General features: G+C 36.7%; 1 protein-coding gene across 4 annotated transcripts in view; it reads left to right on the top strand.

The window, feature by feature from the left end:
* The window catches only part of CDK8 (cyclin dependent kinase 8), a 151,110-nt gene that overhangs the window by 66,840 nt on the left and 59,811 nt on the right, over positions 1-24,459 (top strand). For 3 of the 4 annotated variants that reach the window (NM_001260.3, NM_001318368.2, NM_001346501.2), the window contains exon 2: positions 16,599-16,674. In NM_001260.3, the coding sequence (NP_001251.1) occupies positions 16,599-16,674 (76 nt within the window). Of the gene's footprint in view, positions 1-3,803; positions 3,854-16,598; positions 16,675-24,459 lie in introns of all 4 variants that reach the window. The other variant, XM_047430033.1, reaches the window with a different exon arrangement.

The raw sequence follows: 24,459 nt of genomic DNA on the forward strand, positions 1-24,459 counted from the left end.
CTTAAAAATACAATTACTGTATTATTCAGCAATTCCACTTCTGGGTATATACCCAAAAGAATTCAAAGGAGGCCTTCAAAGAGGAATATAAATCCCTGTTTGCATATATCATGCAAATATATAAATACTGCATGATAATAGTAGTATTATTCACAATAGCTAAAACAGGGAAGCATCCTAAGTGCCCACTGAAGGATGAATAGATGAGCAAATGTGTAAGGAACATTAGTAAGCCTTAAAAAGGTAGGAAATTCTGACATACGATACAACCTGGATGAATCAGGACATTTTGCTTAAGTGAAATAAGCCAGTCACAAAAAGAAAAATACTGTATATTTCCACTTACATGAAGTACTTAGAGTAATTAAGATCATAGAGACAGAAAGTGGAATGATAGTTGCTAGGAGCTAGGGGCATGGGGAAGGGGGAGTTAGTGTGTAGTGGTTATGGTTTCTTTACACAAGGTGAAAAGTGTTCTGGAGATGGATGGTGGTGATGGTTGTACACATTATAAAGGTATTTAATACCTTTGAACTGTACACTTAAAAATGGTTAAGGTAAATTTTATGTTAATCATATTTTACCACAATTAAAAAATGGAAAAAAAGTGACAATGTGTGTAATAAGCTATGTAAACTATATAACTATGATATTTTTTCTTTATGAAACTCCTGTAAAATTGTTCTAATGGCCTTATAAGTTAAAAACAGTACTGTGGGCAGTCAGTGAGCTAAGTATAAGAAGAAATTATCTCATCTTCCTCTTTTCTCTTTCTCTTCTATATATACATGTATATCTTTATGTAGCTTTATGTCTGTCTATATGCAGATATGTAAATGTATATATTATATATGTTCATATTTATGCTATTTATTTTTATATATTTACATGTGCATACATATATGTATAGAAAGACCATATATGAATACCCTATTATACATACTTAGAGACATGTAAAATAGATATTTTATATAAATAATTGCAGAGCGCATGTGGTGCTGACTTCAACATGTATCTTAAATGCCTAGTATCTTGACATACAGAAAATTCGGGATAAATGTTATCATCATCATATAGAAATCCTATTCCTGGTCTTCCTGCCAGGAAGTCCCACTGATTGAATATTTGCTTACAGAGAAATGGGCCTTTTGGTGTTCCGGAAAGTTAGTGGCAATGATGTTTTTCCAACTATTGGGAAATGACATGGTTTCCTCCCTTCAAATAACACTGAATTTGGTTCAAGAATTAGGAGAACTTAGGGCTTATAAATTTATTAGAGTAATTTTTTTAAAGAATGGTATGAAATTCTCAAATAGAAAAGGTTAATATTAACATTGCTACAAGACTTAAGTTTGATGACCCTAAATGACCCTGCCTTGTGAGATTCGCTGGCTGCTGATGCTCCCATTCATTCACCTCCATCCACTGTGACATATACTGATCTTTTCTCACTCTGTGTGGTTATTTCACTTTTGGTAGGGTGTTACATATTTACCTAATTACAGTGAGTCCTTAATCCACTTCTATCTTATGTGTAATTGGGGGTGGGGTGGTGAGTGGGAGGAGACAGGGAAAAAGGGGCAGGTTTCTTCTTGCCAGTTTTTAATTCACGAGAAACACTCTACCTGTATCTGGGACTACTATTAGGCAGCCAAGGTGAGTTTATCACTTCCTGTTTACACTCGTGCTAAATTGTATATTGAAAATAGCAAAATTTATAGTTTTGGTACTTATCTGACTCGAGTTATTGACAGTCACTTCTTTAGTAGTCTTCTTCCCTCCAGTCTTGATCCCTTCCAATGTGTACTGCTTGTTGCATGGTTTTTCTGAAAGTCTGATCAGGTCTTGTTAATTTTATTGTGTTTAACACTGTCAAATATCTATGTAATTCAACTGAAATTTTGTCGATTTTATATATCTTTGGCATTTGCCAAATTTGGCTCTCCTCTCACGATAATTTTTTTTCTACAGAATTTTGGGAATCCCTAATTTTGTATTTAGATAGCGGTAGTTCCATTTAACTGGATGGTTGATTCTTGTTTGTTTTTTGGGCAATAGGTACATAGAATTGAGTTGAAAATACTGCTCGATGCATGGCATATTGTCATTGTCAGTCTGTACAAGGTCCTACTTTGTTCTTCATTTTTCATTCCTTCATCTCTGTCTTAGTCTGTTTGGGCTACATCTACATAGAGTGGGTGGCTTAAACAGCACACATTTAACTTCTCCCAGTTCTGGAAGTTGTAAAATCCAAGATCAAGATTCCTGGTGAGGGCTATCTTCCTGGCTTCCTTTCTTCCTGGCTGTCTTCTCACTGTGTCCTCACATGTGAGAGAGAGAGAGAGAGAGAGAGAGAGAGGGAGAGAGAGAGGGAGAGGGAGAGGGAGAGGGAGAGGGAGAGGGAGAGGGAACAAGCAAGCGCTCTGGTTTCTCTTCTTATAATGGCACTAATCTCATCTTGAAGACCCCACCTTCATGAACTCATCGAAACCTAATTACCTCCCCAAGGCCCATATCCAAATACCATCACATTGTGGGTTAGTGCTTCATCATATGAAATTTGGGGGGAGACAGTTCAGTCCAGAGCACTGTCCTCTTCTCCCTTTATATTAGGCCCTCGTTCTCATTTGTTCAGTGTATGTTCTTCCAGCCCACTTTCCAACCCAGATATCTTTATTTCCATGCTTGTGTCCATGAAAATATAGTTTTGAGTGTGGTTTTAAATTTTTATATAAGGAATTCTGTAGTGTAAATCTCATTCCTTTAAATAAAATTTTTCTACTCACGTATATGCACGTTCAGCTTGTGACTTTTGACCATGTATTCTCTTTAAATGTGTCTTTAAGTGCATATACCACAGGTTATCTATTTCCAGTGTTTGCCTCTGCAAAGATGGTACTTTTTGCAGCTATATGAAACCTTTCCTGTGGTGTATAATCAGCAGAGGCATTGGCTGTCATAGGAAATACACATGCTGTACTTAATCACTATGCCAGACTGGTCCCTAACATGTTTGTACCAGTTTGTACTCTTAGTAGCAAGGCCTGTGGAATAGTAACCATTCCTCCATATCCTTACCAATTTAAATGAGAACCATTAAGTAATGTTAAATATTAGTGTTTAAAGGATCCTAGAAATAATTGATACAGAGTGCAAGAGTGAGAAGGTATATTAATTTCTTTAAATAGAAAAGTTTGTGGTCAGATATTTTTGTTTATAAACTCAGGCATTTGTTTATAACCTCAAACATTGTGTTGCTAATGGTGCAATAAAGACTCTCCATGTGAGGCAGAGTTGTAATGATTTTAGATCTCATCTTATTTTTTCAACAACTAGCATTCATAAAATATTTACAGTTAGTATTGTTGACGGGGTAGAAAGTAGCTTTGATTTGGTGACTATATTACTAAAAAGATAGAAATGTTAGAAAGTCGATTAAGGAGACAAAGACATTTTTAGGATGTCTTATTAGCACATCACTCTTGAGTACTTATTTATAGTAACACTTGGAGTATAACATGAACACTTCAGAAATGTTCAGGTGCATTCACATGCCTGAATGTAATAGTACTTTTAAGAAAAATATGTTTCAGGCCAAGTAGAAATAAATTAGGCAGATCTATGAAATAGCAGGAAATACTAACCATTTGAGTGCAAAAGTATTCGTGTACATTAATTTCTGTTTTTAGGGTTGCCCATATCTTCTAGCATGAGTGTTAAGGAGAAAAGAATGATTATAAATGATCAATGTCAAAATATGATTCTTGAAGATCCAATAAGTTTAAATTTTTTTTTCTTAATAGAGTTGTTAAGGCAAATGACTTTGGGAAGATAATTTAAGAAAGACTGATTGGTAAGTAATTTAATGGAAAACCTCCACATTCTAGTTCTGATAATGTACTGTAATTTTATAACTGAAACAGACAAGAAAAGACCAAGTGTTTCTTTCAGCCTCCAAGACAAATATTTTTTTAAGCTCTGCTGTTTCTCCAAACAAGGTAAAGATGAATTTGAAGTATAAACCTGGCTTGAATTTCATGAGATAATGCAGAGGAGAGGTATTCATTGCTAGGTTTACAAGAAGGCTTGCAACTTCTTGGAGCTTGGCATCTGGAGCTGCCAGGAAACTTGAAAGTAATTCCTGTTGAATCTGTCTTGTTCAGTGCCATATCTCAGAGATTATAACAGTGCCAAGCACAGGAACTTCCCCCAAATTGCTAGGAAATTCCCACAAATCTAGAATTAATAGTTCTAATAATCTTTTGAATAAACTTACATCATTAACTAAAAAGTTACCTAGTATATTTCATTTGTCAGAATGATCAAAAAAGCAGTATGTGTTAATATGGCAAGGGACCTTAAACAAAATGTAGCATAACTAGCTAGAAAGTGCTCTTTCAGGTTTTACCTCATTTAAAAGAAAGTGTTGTTTAATTTGCTTTGATGCATTGTAATCTTGTGTAAGATTATTGGGCATGATAAATGATAAATGCCACCAGGAGTGCACCTGTAGCCAAAACTTATTAGCCTGCTCTAGCAAGCGAGAGCTCACGCCAGATGAAGTATGAGGTATCTCGGTAAGAAAAGAGCAAGTTCTTTATAGGGATTTGGCTTGGGCTGAATGATTCTAAGGAAAGACTAGGGGAAGTAGAACAGATCTGGATTGGATATTGTCATGAAGGGAGGTCAGTTTGGGAATTAGGTGCTTCAGTATTCCGTTTGGGAGGAGTGAAGCAGGGCTGGGTTCTCTTGGTACTGGCCGTGCTACCGATCTGTTAGGGAAATAATAATATGATTATCAGTGGGGTTCATTTCACTTTCTCATTCCCTCCTTTTGGCCAGATTCAGGGTATTCAGATCATTGTTCAATGAAATACAGATCTTTACCATTGTTAGGAGATAGGAGATTATTAAGACAACCTCATCTGTTGTTGGACTGAAGTCAGTTCTTCATGTATACCTTTTGTTATTGTTTTAAGGTTAGCTGTTGAGTCATCTGAACGAAAAATGGCTGTACACATTTAAGGTTCTGGAGGTCACATTTGAGTAATTTAACACTGACAAATGCTGAGAGATTATTAACAGAGTTTGTATTCTACTTCTAAGCCAAGAGCCTTTGTCCCTAAGTGTGGTTTTGGTGTTGACAAAAACTTTCCTAAGTATGACATCATAGGGGTATCTGTCCTGTTTACTATTTTTAGTTTACTATTTAAAGAGTTGCTTAGTAGTTAAATGTAATTGCCCAGGAACTAGAGTAAGCTGAGTTGCACCCAAAAGAAAGTGGCTACAATCTCAACCATTGGTTTGATTGCATATTTTAGTTAAATCACGAGCAAATTGTACCCTGACAATAGACTCATACAGACAGTGACTAGGGATGCACAAAGCAATATTATGGGTAAGGTCTTATAGGTATCGTTGTTGGAGTTAACAAGTGCCTGTTAACAATTCAGAAATTTAAACCAAAGGAAAGACAATAGCTTGGACACAAAATAAGAGCATACAAATTAAAGCATGATAATTTATGGTTCTGGCCATCTAGATCTTTGTTCCATGGGTCCTGAGTAGAAGCTGTCTCTTTCGTTCCTTTTGATCCAGAAGTCTTGGGTAGAAGCTATATCTGTCTCTAAGATCATCTTCTTCTGGAAGATTCTTAAGAATCTTTAGTTTGAGGTCTCTGGCTGGGACAGACCTTTAGTAATTTGAGGATCTGTTGCGATGCTATAATTCAGAGCCAATGTGTTTTACTGCTGCATTAGTTGTTAACAGAATCTGGCAAAGTCATTGGAGTGTGTTCAAGTGCAGTCTCTGTCTAATGATGCTTCAAAAATAGCCAGACACCTAATCTACGGCCATATACAGCTGATAGTTGTTTCCATCAATGATAAGATTCAGCAGCCCTGGAAAGTTATTATCTTAACTAGAATTAATAGAATGGAAAAGAATGGATCATCTAGTGGCATACAATACACAGATTCAGTCAGTAATTATGCAGGGGATTAGACATATTATGAATAGTGAGGAATCTGACAAATCTACGTGGCCCTTTAGTTTCTATCATCAAGTGTACCTTGATTGTCCATGATTAATAAGGATACTGAAATCTAGAAACAAAAATCAATTTGAAGTAGTTATTGTACCAGTTTTTGTATATGAGCATGAGTTTGCCTTTTTTCAACTTAAAGTACATAACCATTGAGGATATATTCATTAATATTTTATTTGCATATAATTGATTTATACAGCCCAAATTTCTCTTGTGATTTACCAAATAAATTAATTTATCAATAAGAATTTTTATAATTTTGAATTAAATAACATTGTAGGAATGTTGACCAAATCTAATTATTTCTATTATCCTTCCTTTTTTAAGGTAAAGGAATAAATCTTTATGTTACCTCCTGGCCATTCCAGAAAATTTAAGGATGTTTTAGGCGTAAAATACGTTTTATTAGCTTTGTTATTCTGAATTTGGGACCTAAGTCTAGAAGGGTTTTAAATGATACAATTGTTAACCTGAGTCATGATACCCAAGGTAAGAAATAGTTCTAGGCAGTTTTTGAAAATAAAGCAAGAACAACCAGGTGCGGTGGCTCATGCCTGTAATCCCGGAACTTTGGGAGGCTGAGGCAGGTGGATCACCTGAGGTCAGGAGTTCGAGACCAGCCTGGACAACATGGTTAAACCCTGTCTCTACTACAGATACAAAAATTAGCTGGGTGTGGTGGTGGGTGCTTGTAATCCCAGCTACTCAGGAGGCAGAGGCAGGAGAATCGCTTGAACCCGGGAGGTGGAGGTTACAGTGAGCCGAGATTGCGCCACTGCACTCCAGCCTGGGTGACAGAGCCAGACTTTGTCTCAAACAAAAATAAAAAGAAAGAAAATAATGCAAGAACAATAATTGTTAGGACCTTTAATTGTTTTAAATAATGAAATTTTATTAAAAATGATTTAAAATATGGCTAAGGCCCAAGAACATATATTTAAGAGCTGTCTTTTTTTTTTTTTTTAACTTTTGCTTTCTTTCCCTAGTTGGAAATACTGTGGTCACTAAAAATACCAAAGATACCACACCAAAGCAACTTAGGCTGTTCATTTAACATCTCTAAAGCATTCGGACCAAACTGGTTTATTATCTTGCACAGCCACTAAGATTTTATGTCATAGTCCAGCATTCTCACTGACCTTTCCCCCTTAATAATCATCATACCTCAGCATGCAATGGCAGTTGTTTATGATCTTACACATTATCACATATTTAAGATAATTAAATCTTAGACCTACACATTAGCCTTTAGGTAATTCACAGTTCTTACTATATAACTAAACACAGTGATTATGATTATTTCAGCTGTTTTGTTTTCCTTAAAGCATGTCTTTTTCCATGAAAGAAGTAGTGTACTGCTTTACAATCTGGTGCAAGCTCCTTGATCTGGTTGACTGTTCCAGAATATTTTCCTATCTTTGCAACTGAAAATTTAATTCTCCAGAACAGGCTCCTAAACCCTAAACCACAGAGCTTAAACCCTAAACCACATCTGTTGACAATGTAATCAGTATATAACAATTTTATACAATGCAGAGCTAGTCTAGAACTTCTAGCTTGCAAAACTCATTTTGAGAGGACCAAAGGTCTCCTGATTACTGATCCCTTTCTAAGTGATTTGTTACCCATCCCCACTGGAAGCTTGTAAAATGTAAAATGTACTGTTTGTCTCCACTTTTCTGAAATATGTAGATATTGTGTCTTGGGATAGGCCTATTTTCATTTATTTGGGATGGGAATTTGGTAGACCCTTCCAGTTTTGGAAATTATGTCTTTCAATTTGGAAGTTTTCTTGAATTGCTTGAATTGCTCCTCCAATTTTCCTATTTTTCTTTTGCCCCTCTCTCACTTTGTCTCCTGCTATTCTGTTCTAGGATATCTCCTCCACTTTGTCTTCCATTCAGCCATTTCTACTTCTAGCATATTTTATAGTCTCAATTCTCTGCCATTGCATGATTTTGCTGTGTAAGTCTAATTGGTTCTTGGCTTTCTTCACTGTCAACTTCTGATTTTGTTTTCTTGGATCCTCTTAATCAGCTATTTTTTGTCCATTTGCTTTCTAGTTTCCACATTTTTATGCTATCTTCAGTCTCAGTTTTTATACTTATCGTCCTTATGTCTTTTAAAAATTCCCTTTACCATAGTTTAAATAGAGTTTTAGGAAGCAGTGTAGTTTGATTTGTGTGCTCCATACTCTCTTTTACCAAAACACTGCTCAGTTTTTTAACCAATCCTTTGCGGCCATTTTATATTTTCATCTTACTCCTCCCATCTCTTAAAGGTGAATTTTCATCATGGTCCCATCCTCTTATTTTTGGTTTTCTTACACAACACATTTTCCCTCAGCTTTATTTTTTTAATATAATATTTTCTTCTTAACTTATTTTGGACACTCTACATACCTCTTTTGAGACAGGTGCCATAAAATACCCCCATCTTACCTTGCCTATTTCTGTTTTTTTTTTTTTGTTTTTTTTTTGTTTGTTTTGTTTTGTTTTTGTTTTTGAGACAGAATTTTGCACTTGTCGCCCAGGCTGGAGTGCAGTGGCAGGATCTTGGCTCACTGCAACCTCCGCCTCCCGGGTTCAAGTGATTCTCCTGCCTCAGCCTCCCAAGTAGCTGGGATTACAGGCACCCACCACCATGCCTGGCTAAATTTTTGTATTTTTTGTACAGACGGGGTTTTGCCACGTTGGGCAGGCTGGTCTCAAACTCCTGACCTCAGGTGATCCGCCCACCTCGGCCTCCCAAAGTGCTGGGATTACAAGCCTGAGCCACTGCACCCGGCCGCCTATTTCTAAAATCTCATCTGTCCTCAGGGCTGTCACCGGTAGCCATTTATTTTGTGGTATGTTTAGTGATATTAAACTACTTGCTGCTAGTCTTTACTATTCTCTGAGCATGGCAGACCCTTTCCATGCTTCTGTAGTTTTGTATATACTGTTTCCACTTCCTGGGGTGTCTCATGTAACTACTGATTTATTTCCCCAGGGCCTCCCTCTCTTCCTGACAAACTTCTTAAGTCTTTTTGTGTGTGTGCGTGCCCAAATTTATGAGTTACATGAGAACATTTGTTACATGTATATAATACATAGTGATCAAATCAGGGAATTCTGGATGTCTATCATCCGACTACAGTACTTTTTTGTTAACTGTAGTCATCCCACTCTGCTGTCAAATGTTGAATTTATTTCATTTATTTATTTTTTTTATGAGACAGAGTCTCTGTCGCCTAGGCTGGAGTGCAGTGGCACAATCTCAGCTTGCTGCAACCTCCGTCTCCTGGGTTCGAGTGATCCTCCTGCTTCGGCCTCCCTAGTAGCTGGGACTACAGCTGTGCACCACCATGCCTGACTAATTTTGTGTTTTTAGTGGAGGCAGGGTTTCACCATGTTGGCCAGGCTGGCCTCAAACTCCTGACCTCAAGTGATCTGCCCGCCTTTCCCTCCCCAAGTGCTGGGATTACAGGCGTGAGCTACCACGCCCGGCTGAATTTATTCCTTTTATCTTACTGTATGTTTATACCCTTTAACCACTTTTCATTCACCCTTTTGCCTCCCACTTAACCTTCCCAGTCTCTCTGTTATCTGTTTTTCCACTCTTCCTTCACGTGTTCACATTTTTTTTTTTAGCTCCCACAGGTTAAGTGAGAACGTGCAATATTTGTCTTTTCGCGTCTGGCTTATTTTGCTTAAGCTATTTCCACCATGTTGACCTCCAGTTTCGTCCATGTTGCTGCAAATGACATGATTTCCTTCTTTGTGTGTGTGTGGTTGAATAGTATTCTATAGTGTATATATACCACATTTTCTTTATCCATTCATCTGTTGATGGACACTTAGGTTTATGTCTGTCTTTGGTATTGTGAATAGTGCTGCCATAAGCATGTGAGTGCAGGTATCATTTTGATACATTTGTTTCTTTTTGTTTTAGTGGATACCCAGTAGTGGGATTGCTGGATTGAATGGTATTTCGATTTTTAGCTTTTTGAGAAATTGCCATGCCATTTTCTATAGTGGCTGTACTAGTTTACATTCCCAGCCACCATGTGTAAGAGGAGTTCCCTTTTCTCTGTGTCCACACCAACATCTGTTATCTTTTGTCTTTTTAATGAATGCCATCCTCACCGGGGTAAGATGGTATCTCATTGTGGTTTTTATTTGCATTTCTCTGATGATTAGTGATATTGAGCATTTTTTTCATATACCTGTTGGATCTTTGTATGTCTTCTTTTGAAATGTATCTATTCATGTCCTTTGCCCACTTTTCAATGAGATTATTTGGTTTTCTCCTGTTGGGCTGTTTGAGTTCCTTTTATATTGTGGATATTAGTCCCCTCAGATGAATAGTTTGCAAATATTTTCTTCCATTCAACAGGCTGTCTCTTCACTATGTTATTTCTTTTGCTGTGCAGAAGCTTTTTTGTGTAATAAAGTCTCATTGTCTGTTTTTGGTTTTGTTGCCTGTGCTTTTGAGGTCTTAGTTATAAATTCTTTGCCTAGATCTTCTGCATGTGGCTATCTAGTTTTCCCAGCATCATTTATTAAAGAGGGTGTCCTTTTCCCTGATACAAGTTTTTGTCAGCTTTGTCAAAGATAAGTTGGCTATAAATATGTAGCTTTATTGCTGAGTTCTTCATTCTGCTCCATTGGGTTACTTATCTGTTTTTCTACCAATACCATGCTGTTTTGGTTATAGCCTTGTAATGTGTTTTGAAGTCAGGTAATGTGATGCCTCCAGCTATGTTCTTTTTGTTCAGGATTGCTTTTGACTATTGGGGCTCTTTTTTGGTTCCATACAAATTTTAGGATTATTTTTTCTGACTCCGTGAAGAATGGCATTGGTATTTTGACTGGGATTGTATTGAATCTGTAGATTGCTTTGGGTAGTATGGTCCTTTTAACAATATTGATTCTTCTGATCCATGGGCCTGGGATGTTTTTCCTTTTGTTTATGTCATCTTTAATTTCTTTTAACAGTGTTTTGTAGTCCTTCTCGTAGAGATTTCCATCTCCCTAGTTAGATTTACTCCTGGGTATTTTAATTTTGTTCTAGCTTTTTAAGTGAGATTGACTTCTTGATTTCTTTCTTGGTTGGATCATTTTTGATACATAGAAACAATACTTTTATACGTTGATTTTGTAACCTGCAACTTTACTGAATTTATTTGCCAAATCTAAGAGTTGTTTTTGGTGGAGTCTTTAGGTTTTTTTTAATACAAGATCATTTGGGAGGCTGAGGTGGGTGGATCACTTGAGGTCAGGAGTTTGAGACCAGCCTGACCAACAAGTGAAACCCTATCTCTACTAAAAATACAAAAATTAGCCAGGCATGGTGGTGCGTGCCTGTAATCACAGCTACTCGGGAGGCTGAGACAGGACAATCACTTGAACCCAGGAGGCGGAGGCTGCAGTGAGCTGAGATCATGCCACTGCACTCCAGCCTGGGCAACAGAGCAAGACTCCATATAATACATATATATATATATAAAATCATATCATCAGCAAAGAGAGACAGTTTGACTAACTCCTTTTGAATTTTGAGGACTTTTATTTCTTTCTCCTGTCTGATCGCTCTACCTAGGACTTCCAGTGCTATGTTGAATAAGAGTGGTGAAAGTGAGCATCCTTGTCTTCTTCCAGTTCTTGAAGGAAAGATTTTCAGCTTTTCCTCATTCGTATGATGTTAGCTGTCGGTTTGTTATATATGGCCTGTATTACTTTGAGCTATATTCCTTCTATGCCTAGTTTGTTAAGTATTTTTATCAAATTTCTTAAGTCTTCAGATTCTAATTTAAATAGACTTTCTGAAGGCTTGTCTTATCCAGCTTCATACCTTGAACATACATTGCGTTGTCTCCTCTTTCTCTAGTGCTTAGAACACTATTTGAGCACCTCTCATCCAAAAGTCAGAAATCCAAAATGCTACACAATCTGAAACTTTTTGATGCCTGATGCCACAAGTGGAAAATTCCACATCTGATTTCATGTGACAGGCCGTAGTCACATGCAGGTGCATAACACACCGTTGATTCTGCGTCCTCAAGGGAGAAAAGGTATTCTGGTGATGCTACTGTGCTGCTTAGGACTACCCTGAACACATTTTTTCACAATATTAATTATATACCTTCTTTTTTTTTTTTGAGACTCAGTCTCGCTCTCATCCCCCAGGCTGGAGTGCAATGGCGCAATCCTGGCTCACTGCAACCTCTACCTCCTGGGTTCAAGCAATTCTTCTACCTCAGCTTCCTGAGTAGCTGGGATTGCAGGTGTCCACTACCACGCCCGGCTAAGTTTCGTATTTTTAGTACAGATGGGGTTTCACTATGCTGTCTAGGCTGGCCTTGAACTCCGGACCTCAGGTGATCTGCCTGCCTTGGCCTCCCAAAGTGCTGGGATTACAGGTGTGAGCCACCACACCCGGCTGATATGCTGTATTTTTTTACTGTTAAGTACTTAAGTGTAAGAAAATAATTAGTTATTAGTAGCATATAAATTCAGAGTCATGAATGATGGTGATGCCAAACAACCACAGGTGATTCACAGGAGTGGCAGAGATAGTGACACTTTTGCTTTCTGATGGTTCATTGTACACAAACTTTGTTTTATGCACATAATTATTTAAATATTATATAAAATTACCTTCAGGCAATGTGTATATGGTGTATATGAAACATAAAATGAATCCTGTGTTTAAATTGGATCTCATCCCCAAGATATCTCATTATATATGGGCAAATATTCCACAATATCCTGAAAAATCAGAATTTCAAAACACCTCTCATCCCATGCATTTCAGATAAGGGATACTCGGTCTGTATTGTAACCATTCATTTAATCTGACTACTTCCCTTGGATCATTACTGACACTAGTGAACAACTCTTTTTCATCTCCTTTGTATCTTTTACTAAAAAAATGTGTGGATGGAGAGATAAATTTGCCATGTAAACCACATAGCACTATTATATTATGTTGTAATTATATTAGGTGATTTTCAAGAGGAGGTTGCCTTTTTTATAATCAGATGTCATTTATAATTTATTTGGTATTATTTTTCTCCATTGCACATTTCTTTCTAATAATCTACTTTTATAAAGTAAAAAACATATATTACTTGGAGTAGGGGAGAAGACTGATTGAATATTAGAATTTTTTTAGTTCACAGAGAAGAAATTGTCATATACCACCTTGGGCATTTTTAAATAAGAGAAAGTGGTGGATATTAAGGAGGTGAATGGGTAAATCTTTAGTTTAAATTATTTTCTTTCCCACCACTCTCTTTCTTAGTAGGGGGTTCAATTCTAGGATGTAATTCTTAAACAGTAGATATAATAGAATGTGTTATACCCTTGGATTGACCATCTGGTTAAATCAATAACCCTGCCCATGAAAGTGTCTAATAGACTATTCTGATTCCAATTTTGTTTTATTTTTATGTCCTTAACTTCGTCTTTCTTTCAGAAACCATTCAGACAGTGAATATTAAGTACAGATCCTCTTAATGTCTTTTTCATATAATGAGTACTCATGGTGCTTTACTAGATATATGCTGTAAAACTGATTGTTACAAAACAAATTTTTTTCCAGAAAAATAATGTTGTAATTGTGATTTCTTTTCCCAAGTAAGGATTTGGCATAAAATATGTTGTAAAAACAAAGATAAAGCAATGTTACGTTTTAGTAATAATTTAAAATAATAAAGTATTAAATTGACTTAAATTAATTGATTTTATAAAGGCTTATTAATTTGTTCACTTAAACTGTCTTACTACCGAAGTCTCCAGTGCTATCACGTCTGCCCTTCCTTTTAGTATATGACCTCATTGCCACTTTCAGAAAAAAAATGAACATATCAAAATCGGAACTCCCCCAGCTTTTTGCCTCTGAACCAACTTCTTTCCATCTGTATTCGTTCCTTTATCTGTCCTTTCTTCCTATTACGATGGAATAGACGTTTCTCCTTCAAGCCAGAGAGCAAAGACCCTGAAAGCTTGTTCTCTGGATTTTTTTCTCCTCTCCTATATTGTTAGCTCTTTTTCTCTGGGTCCTTTCTGTCAGTGCTTATCATAATCAAGTCTCTTCCATCTTAAGAAATAATAACTCTAACCTCGTGTATTACTCCAGCACCTGCCTTATTTTTCGCCTTCAAAGAATTGCTTACATATGTTGTCTTAGTTTACGTATGTCTCATTCACCCCTCAGCCTTCTGCAATATAGACCCTGCCACCACATCGCTGCAACCATTTTTGCCTACTCCACTATCCATTGTTGACTTAATCATTGCTAAATTCAGTAGATACTTTACAATTCTTACCTCACTAGACCTCTCTGCAGATTTTTGTACTATTTGCTATTCTGCCCTTTTTGAAAATCTTTTTCTTGGCAGTCCTTCTCTTTGCTCTCGTTGAACCTACTCTTGTGGCTTCGATCACTGTGTCATGCTGATTCCGGTAAATCTGTGTCTTCAGCTTGCTCTTGAGCTTTAGTGTTTATTCTGCTTGCCAGCAGCTATGCCCACTTAGATGTCTCACTGGTCCCCAAAACTCAGCCTACACAGAATGGAGCTATCACCTACCTGTTCCCTCAAAACTTTTCCTCCTACCTGGTTTTTAATTTCAGTGAATAATGCTGTCATTACTTTGTAGCCTGTGGCAGAAATCATTGTCTTTAACTTCTTCTTCCTTACCCACAGTAGTCAATCATGAAGGACCCTACTTCTTATCTGTCTGTTCTCTATAGTAACCACCATTCTGCAATAGCCATCATCATCTCTCACTGAATAATTTTAATACTAATTACTTGTAACTGTTCTGTCTGCCTCCTTTCCTTATTTACTCCCACTAAGCATTCACAAGGCAGCCAAAGATACATTTTCCAGATAAAATATAATTGATATTCTCTTGCTTAACAACAACAACAACAACAACAACAACAACAACAGACCTTTAAAGGTGCCCTTCTTGTTGTTCTTGGCATGAAAAGACTTGTGTTGTGGTTCTTGATTTTATCCCCAGCCTCATCTCTAGTTGTATACAGTATCCAGTCTCCCTCAAATGCTTTTTCTCTTTCCTCGTGTGACTGCACCTCTCTTAACTAATACACAAACATACACACACACACACACACACATACACACATACACACACACAATCAAGTGATCAGAGTGTGATCCTGGAACCCCCTGGGTGTCTACAAGATCCTTTCAGAGGGTCTGTAAGGTCAACACTATTTTTGTAATAATACTATGATATTGTTTGCTTTTTCATTCTCATTCTAATGAGTGCCTAGTGGATTTCTTTCAGAGATGATCCAACATGTGATGATGCTATTCCGTTGCTCTGGTGGCTAGTGGATATAAACTTCTGTAGTTTTAAAAGTTCCCATTTTAAAATTTGTATAGGATATAATATTGATAGATATAATAAACCAAAGCTTGTCAGGGTCCACAGTAATTTTCAAGAGAATAAAGGGGTTCTGGGACCAAAAGGTTTGAGAACAGCCATTTAGGCCTCAGATGGCATTTTCTCTGAGGAGTCTTTTTTTTTTTTTTTTTTTTTGAGACGGAGTCTCGCTCTGTCGCCCAGGCTGGACTGCAGTGGCGTGATCTCGGCTCACTGCAAGCTCCACCTCCTGGGTTCACGCCATTCTCCTGCCTCAGCCTCCCGAGTAGCTGGGACTACAGGCGCCCGCCACCACACCCGGCTAATTGTTTTGTATTTTTAGTAGAGACAGGGTTTCGCCATGTTAGCCAGGATGGTCTCGATCTCCTGACCTCGTGATCTGCCTGCCTTGGCCTCCCAAAGTGCTGGGATTACAGGCGTGAGCCACCGCGCCCGGCCTCTGAGGAGTCTTTGCTTGGGTCCTCCACCAAGTCCCCTTTGAGTAACCTTTTCTGTTGCACTTGCCATATCATAGCACTTATCATATTGTATTATGGTGTGTTACTTATCTTTTTAAGCCGGTAGACACAGAAAACTCTCTAAAAGAAGGAACTTGTTGTATCCTCAGTACCTAGCACAGTTCTGGGTACATAGTAAGTGTTCAGTAAACACATGTTGCGTGAGTGTCTTTGAAAGTCTTTGGAGATGACCTAAATTATTTATTATCAAATTATGATTACTATAACATGTTTTAAATTATAACCATTTTGTGTCTTAGGGACACATTCATTTCTTAACTTTTCTGACCCACTAATATCTGAATAGGTTTGAGAAAGCAGGTTTTATTTTATATGTGTGTGTTATGTTCATATATTAGAGCAGAAGGAATCTATTACTGGAAGTCAGAAGCTCTGTATCTCAATCTGTGTCTTCCACAAGTAACTGTGGAACCTTGGAAAAGTCTTTTTATTCCTTTGAAGCTAACTTCCCTCATCAAATAATGGGACTGGACTAGGTTGTCTGAAAAGTTTTTCCTTGTACGACATTGTATGATTATATTGAATAATGTCAAATGTGTATTAAACGTGATTTATATTTATTTATATTTTACTTTATAAAAATGCACATAAATATAGATTTATCTATATATTAAAATAACTTTGTTTTTACAGGAAGGATGATAAAGACTATGCTTTAAAACAAATAGAAGGAACTGGGATCTCTATGTCGGCATGTAGAGAAATAGCAGTAAGTGAAGTTCTTTTTATCATCGTTATTATCAACTGACTTATGAGTACCAACTATATAAGGCTCTGTATTGTATTTGTCATATTAATTGAAAGTTAGTGAATATTTTTATATCAACTATATGTAGAAAAATATTATTTATTAAGGAGAAGTAAAGGGGTCATGTAGTTCTGTCTATATAAACTCTTTATTTGGGGTAAAGTAAATTTCAGTTGTTTATATAAATACATGTTTTCCCAATACCTGTCACTAATAGTAGAGGATCCAGTTATTTCATTGAGAGCAGTAAAAGTGGCATGTTAGTCCATAGAAAATTAATATTTTTATTTTAATAGAATGAGACTAATGTCATTAGTTATGTCAAATTAAAATGAGGTTGTATTATTTGATTTTCATTGCTTGTATCTGTTCATTTGAGTATGTAAACATTTATGCCCTTTTATTTTGGAAGCATAGTTTTCCATATTGTGATTAGAATCTCATTTTGATTCCAAAGGGAAGTAGTCTTTGGGTTAATGCATTAATAGTTATCCATACATTTAAACTGAGTGTTACTTTTTGAGATTTTTCTTCAGTTTTTACTGTTATAAAACTGTGGGTCCAAATGTGTCTTTTCTGGCTTTACACAGAATATTCTAGGATATATATTATAATCTTTGCTTTTGTTGCTCTCAGCCCTTCTATTATATTTACCCATAATAGTCTATTATGACCTGGAAATGTTAAACAATTTTGCAAGTTTACTAAGATTCTGTACCAATGAGTCTTCAACTCAAGTAGATAAAAATAATTTACACTATGTTGAGGAAAAAGACTCATAAATCTAAGAGTAGCATGTCAAGCACTGTGATAGAAGTATATGGGAATGGAGAAGGGTGTACATCTAAACTAAAGTAGAAAATCAAGGAAAGTTCCAGGTTTGGGAACGAATGTAAGAATTACTTTCATGAGGGAAGAATAGGGGTGAGATGGAGGATATTGTTAACCAAAGGTAGACCATGCTGAAAGATGTAGTTCATTTAATTGATACTTTTTTAATACTTTTCAATCTTGAGACCAGGTGTCTGTATGTTAACTGTCAGTTATTCAACATCTATTCTGTATATACTCGTCAGTTTTAAAGAGTTAAAAGCCATTAAACTATGGTCAGTGGTGTTAGAAGTCAGGATGTTGATTACCCTTGGAGGGAATACAGAGCTTCAGGGTGCTAGTAATGTTCTCTGATCTTGCACTGGGTCTAGTAACACGGGTTATATATGTGAAAATTCATTGAGCTGTGTACTTATTGTTCACATGCTTTTCTCTTGTTTATTAGTCTTTAACAAACTGTTTTTTATTAGAAAAAAACTCAGTTCAGAAACAGCTATTATCTTTGCATATATCGTGATAACTATAAATGCACTTAAATACAGAAAGAAGTATGAAAGCCTACTTTTAATGTACTTGATCATGGCTCTTCAATCTAAGATGAACAGAAATGTTTAATTTTTATGAAGTCTTACTAATTTTTCCTCTTATGGCTATTTTCTGTATGTGGCTGAAGAAATCTGTACCCACTGATTGTGAAAATATTTCCCAATATTTTCTTCTAAATGCTTTATAATTTTTTTATTTCTAGTCTATGATATACTCAATTAATTTTTGTTTGTGGTATGATACAGAGTTTGAATTCCCCCTCCCATGTGAATGTACAGTTGTAGCATCATTTTTGGAAAACATCCTTTGCCATAGAATTCCTTTGGCACCTTTGCAAAAAAAGAAAGTATACATTTGGACTGTATTTCATTCCATTGTTCTCTCTGTCTAGCCTTATACCAATAGATTACTCTACCTTTCTAGCAAGACTTGAAGCCAGGTGGTGTAACGCCACCAGCTTTATTCTTTGTCAGAATTGTTTGGGGTATTTTAGGTTCTTTAGCATTATCATATAAATTTTTACATCAGCTAATTAGTTTTTTTTTTTTTTAAAAAGCTTGTTGAGATTATAATTTGGATCAATTCGAAGAATAATAGTATTGAGACTTTCAAGCCAGCGGAAAGATATACTTTCCATTTTATTTATTTATTTATTTATTTATTTATTTATTTTATTTATATAATTACTTAAAAAAAAAATATATATATATATATAGTGTAGTATATATCCTGAGATATTTCTGAACTCACTGGTAGGTTTTTGGTGATTGCTTGGGATTTTTTCTACATAATTATGTCATTTATGAATAGGGATACTTTTACTTTTTTCCATATTTCTGCTTTTATTTCCTTTTTTTCTTTACCGAGCTGGTTAGGCCATCTCACACAATGTTGAATAGTGGTGAGAGCAGTTATCTTTGATTTATTCCCAACTGTGAGGAAAATATTTCCGCTTTCACTGTTCAGTATAATGATAGCTGTGTGTTTTTCATAGGTGCTATTAATCAAGTTTAGGAAGTTATATTCCTAGATTCTAAGAATTCTTTTCATAAATGATATTGAATTTTATCAAATGCTTTTTTCTGCATAGATAAAAGCAACCATATAATTCTTTTCTTATTCTGTTAATTTAGTACAAAATATTTTCAGTTTTCTTTGTGAAATTTTTCCTTTTATCTATGAGTTATTTCGAATTATATTGCTTAATTTTTAAACGTGAGGTATTTCTAGATAACTTACTGTTACTGATTACTAATTTATTTTCATTGTGGGTCAGAGAAAAGAGACCTTGTATTTTAGAGATACATACTGAAATATTTATAGGTGAAATGATACAATAACTGGAATTTACTTCAGCATAATCCAGGGTTGGCTGGGAGGAGTGGATATTAGTATAAATAAATTAAGTTTGTCTGTGAGTGGCTAATGGTACGTAGGGGTTTTTTTTAATATTCTTTTTTATTTAGTTTGGAAATTTGTATAACAAAAAGTTAAGAATGAAATAATTCCCATGTTTTCTGGCAAGTTTTTATCAGGCCTTCCTCCTTTACATTTCTTAATTCTTCCTCGAAGAAGTTGTGCGTCCCCAGCATTCACCTCCATTAACTCTCTATGATTACACCCAGTTTGTTTCTTTAATATAACACTCATTACAAATGTAATTACGAGGGGGTTCTTTTTATCTGTGTGCCTGGTTACTTACTTTGTTATCTGTTCCCCCAACCCTCTAGACTGTAATGCGTTTCTTCCCCAGTTTGTGCTAGGTGTGGTGTATAGTCCTTGCTCTGTAAGTAAGTGTAGAAGGGAGGGAGGGAGGAAGGAACTCTGAAAATTTCTTCTAAAAGCAAAGAGCATTGCATATCTTCATCTTCATTTTTTTGTAAGTGATTTGTCTTATACATTGTCAAAATTTCCTGTGAGCTGTAATTCCTAGTGTAGACATTTTTCAAACTGCACATGGGTGAATCATCAGTATTCCACAAGGCTGCCTTATAGTTGTGATGGGGGAGCAGAGGTAAAGCTCTGGACTTGACTTTTCTACTCACCTCTACTTCAACCTAAGCATACCTCAGTTTTTTTCTTTTTTGTGACAGAGTCTTGCTCTGTTGCCCAGGCTGGAGTGCAATGGCACGATCTCGGCTCACTGCAATCTCTGCCTCCCGGGTTCAAGTGATTCTCCTGCCTCAGCCTCCTGAGTAGTTAGGATTACAGGTGCGCGCCACCACACCCAGCTAATGTTTATATTTTTAGTAGAGATGGGGTTTCACCATGTTGGTCAGGCTGGTCTCAAACTCCTAACCTTGTGATCCACCCACTTTGGCCTCCCAAAGTTCTGGGATTACAGGCATGAGCCATCGTGCCCGGCCAAGCATACCTCAGTTTTTATCAATTTGCAAGAATTTGGTTGAAAAAGGTTTCACAGGTTTAAATATATTGAAATAATTTTGAAATTGTTTTCCTTATTTTTTTACAGTGATTTCAAGTCAACTGTCACCATACTCATGTTATAAATTAAGAATTTATTTTTTATCTTTGCTATATTATGAAGTTTTAATGTTAGAATGCAATATAGTTTTGTGAATATTAGGCTTTTTAAGCCCATTTTCTCACCATTATGATATTTATTGAGAAGACACAGTTTGAAGTATTAATTTATTTTTTATATATTTGTACTATAGAAGTTCAAATTAAATGTGATACTGTATGTAACAGCTGGAATAAATTAAATTTACAGTAAATTACATAGTCAAAACAGTAATCTTAGAACTCAGAAAATAAGATTTTTTTTTTTCTTTTAGCAGAATTGGGAAAACAGGTGGTTTCTGTAATGGAAACTATTATATGAGTATCTTTAAACCTTCTGTTTTCAATTTTTTTTTTTGAGACGAAGTCTCGCTCTTTCCCCAGGCTGGAGTACAGTGGCGCAATCTCGGCTCACTGCAACCTCCGCCTCCCGTGTTCAAGCGATTCTTCTGCCTCACCCTCCCAAGTAGCTGGGACTACAGGCACATGCCACCATACCCAGCTAATTTTTGTATTTTTAGTAGAGATGGAGTTTCACCATGTTGGCCAGGATGGTCTCTTGACCTCGTGATCCGCCCACCTCAGCCTCCCAAAGTGCTGGGATTACAGGCGGCAGCCACCGCACCCAGCTGTTTTCAAAATATTTTAACACAAAATCTTCGAAAAGGCAAAAAGTAACTTCTACAGTATTAAAAACTAGGATCTACATGCTCTGGCCTCCAAATAGTGTCATGTAGTGCTGAAGTTCTTTTCGTCACCAAGGAAAGCCTGCATACTCTCTCAGCATCACAGCGTCAAACACACAGGAATGCATGAGGGGTGACAACCTTGCCAGACTCTTTGGGCTCTTACCCTGGCTCTGCCACTTTACTAGCTTGTAGGACCCAAAACAAGTTATTTGATTTCTTTGTGTTTCAGTTTTCCCATTTGTAAAATGGGACAGTGCCTGGCGTGTAGTAGGCATTTAGTAAATGTTAGCCCTGCTAAGTGCAGCACAGCTCCCAGGTCTTTTGGAGTTTCTTCAATGTAAATATTTACTTCAAGGTAATTGTCCACTGAGACAGTTCCATCACCAATCCTCAGTGGCCATTCTCTTTTAATCCCAAAGTGACCTGTCTGTCTCCTAATATGTCTCCCTAAAAACAACAACAACAAAACACCACCACCAACAAAGGTGTTTTACTTATTCAGTAGTAATAGTTACTTACTCTACTGGTTTGCTTTAGTTGCCCTAACAAAATACTACAGGCTGGGTGGCTTAAACAGCAGAAGTTTGTTTTCTTATAGTTGTGGAGGCTAGAAGCCTTATAGCAAGATGTTGTCAGGGTTAGTTTCCTCTGAGGCCTCTTTCTTTGGCTTGCAGATAGCCTCCTTCTTCCTGTCTCATCAGATGGTCATTTCAGAGACACTCCTGGTGTCTCTCTGTATGTCCTCATCATCTCTTCTTGGGAGGACGCCAGCCAGATTAGATTAGGGCCCACTCTAAAGACCTCATTTTAACCTAATTACTTCTTAAAAGGCCTTATCTCCAAATACAGTCATGCATCACTTAATTAGCGGGATATGCTCTGAAAAAATGCATTATTAGGCGATCTCATTGTTCTGCCATCGCAGAGTGTACTTACACTAACCCAGATGGTAGAACCTAAACACACCAGGCTGTTTGTAGCCTATTCCTTCTAGGCTACAAACCTATACAGCATGTTGCTATACCGAATACTATAGGCAACTGTAACACAATGCTAAATATTTGTATATCTGAGCATATTAAATAGAAAAGGCATGGTAAATATGTGGAATAAACATAGAAAAGGTACAGTAAAAATACGGAATAAATGATTAAAAAAATGGCTGTTCTGCCTATGGAGTAGCCATTCTTTATTCCTTTACTCTCTTAATAAACTTGCTTTCCCTTTTGTCTATGGATTCGCCCCAAATTCTTTCTTGTTCAAGGTCCCCCCAAAACAAAGATAAAAAATGGTACACCTGTATGTATAGGGCTGTTAGCATGAATGGGGCTTGCAGGTCTGAACGTTGCTCAGGGTATCAGTGAGTAGTGAATGAATGTGAAGGCCTAGGACATTAATGTACACTACTGTAGACTATAAGCACTGTACACTTAGGCCACATTCAGGCTACATTCAGTTTATAAAACATATTTTACTTTCTTCAATTAACCTTAGTTTACTGTAACTTTTTTACATTATAAACTTTTTTTCACTATTGTAATAACACTTAAAATACACATTGTACACCTGTACAAAAAATTTGTATTCTTATTCTATAAGTTTTTTTCTATTTAAAAAATTTTTTTTTTACTTTTTCAACTTTTAGGTTCAGGGGGCACATGTGTAGGTTTGTTACATGGGTAAATTGCATGTCACTGAGGTTTGGTGTGGGAATGATCTCATCACCCAGATAAGGAGCATAGTTACCAACAGTTTTTCACCCCTTCCCCCAACCTCACCCTCCCTCCTCTGGTAGTTCCCAGTATCTATTGTTGCTATCTTTATGTCCATGTTTATCCAATGTTTAGCCCCTACTTTTAAGTGAGAACATGTGGTATTTGGTTTTCTGTTCCTGTGTTATTTTATTTAGGGTTATGGCCTCCAGCTGCATCTATGTTGCTGCAAAAGACATGATTTTATTCTTTTTTATGGCTGTATATCATTCCGTGGTGTATATGTACCACATTTTCTCTTGTCCAGTCCACTGTTGCTGGGCATCTAGGTTGATTCCATGCTACTGTGAATAGTGCTGCAATGAACATACAAATGCATGTTTCTTTTCGTAAGCTAAGGTACATATACATTAGCCTAGGCCTACACAGGGTCAGGATCATGAATATCATTGTCTTCCACCTCCACATTTTATCCCACTAGAAAGTCTTCAGGGAGGCCAGGCATGGTGGCTTATGCCTGTAATCACAACAGTTTTGGGAGGCCGAGGTGGACAGATAGATCACTGGAGGCCAGGAGTTCGAGACCAGCCTGGCCAACATGGCGAAACCTTGTCTCTACCAAAAAAATACAAAAATTAGCTGGGTGTGGTGGTGCATGCCTGTGGAGGCTAAGACATGAGAATTGCTTGAATCTGGGAGATGGAGGTTGCAGTGAGCCAAGATCATGCCACTTCACTTCAGCCTGGGCAATATGAGACTGTCTCAAAAAAAAAAAAAATTCTTTGGGGCAATAACTCACATAGAGCTGCCTCTCCTAGGATAACAGTACCTTTCAGACTACCTCCTGAAGGACCTGCCTGAGGATATTTTACAGTTAACTTAAAAAAAAAATAAGTCGAAGGGGTACACTCTACAATAGTGATAAAAAGTGTAATGTAATGAAAACATAGCCAGTATTAGAGGCATTTATTATCATCAAATATTGTGTGCTGTATATAATGATATTTGCTAGACTTGTATGAGACTGGCAGCGTGATACATGTATGTATACCAGCATCACCACACACACGAGTAATGCACGTTGTGCTACAATATTATGAAGGTTGTGTGTCACTAGGTGATAGGAGTTTTTCAACTCCATTATAATCTTATATATGCTGTCTGTTATTGACTGTGACATCATCATGCAGCATGTGACTGTACGGTCACATTCCAAGGTACTGGGGGTAGGGCTTCAGCATAGGAATTTTAGGGGAACACAGTTCAGTCCATAACACTATTACTCACTACTCTGGCAGTAGTTACTTACCCAGAATGAAGTCTTTACTCTCAGAGATTTGTTGTCTGGTTAATCAGATAGATGAATTTTTTTTAATTGATATTTAATGAAGTAGATTGGTTTTTGTTTTTTTGTATTGAGATGGAGCCTCACTCTGTCACCCAGG

This window comes from Homo sapiens, chromosome 13 (genome assembly GCF_000001405.40).
Source record: "Homo sapiens chromosome 13, GRCh38.p14 Primary Assembly".
NCBI lineage: Eukaryota > Metazoa > Chordata > Mammalia > Primates > Hominidae > Homo > Homo sapiens.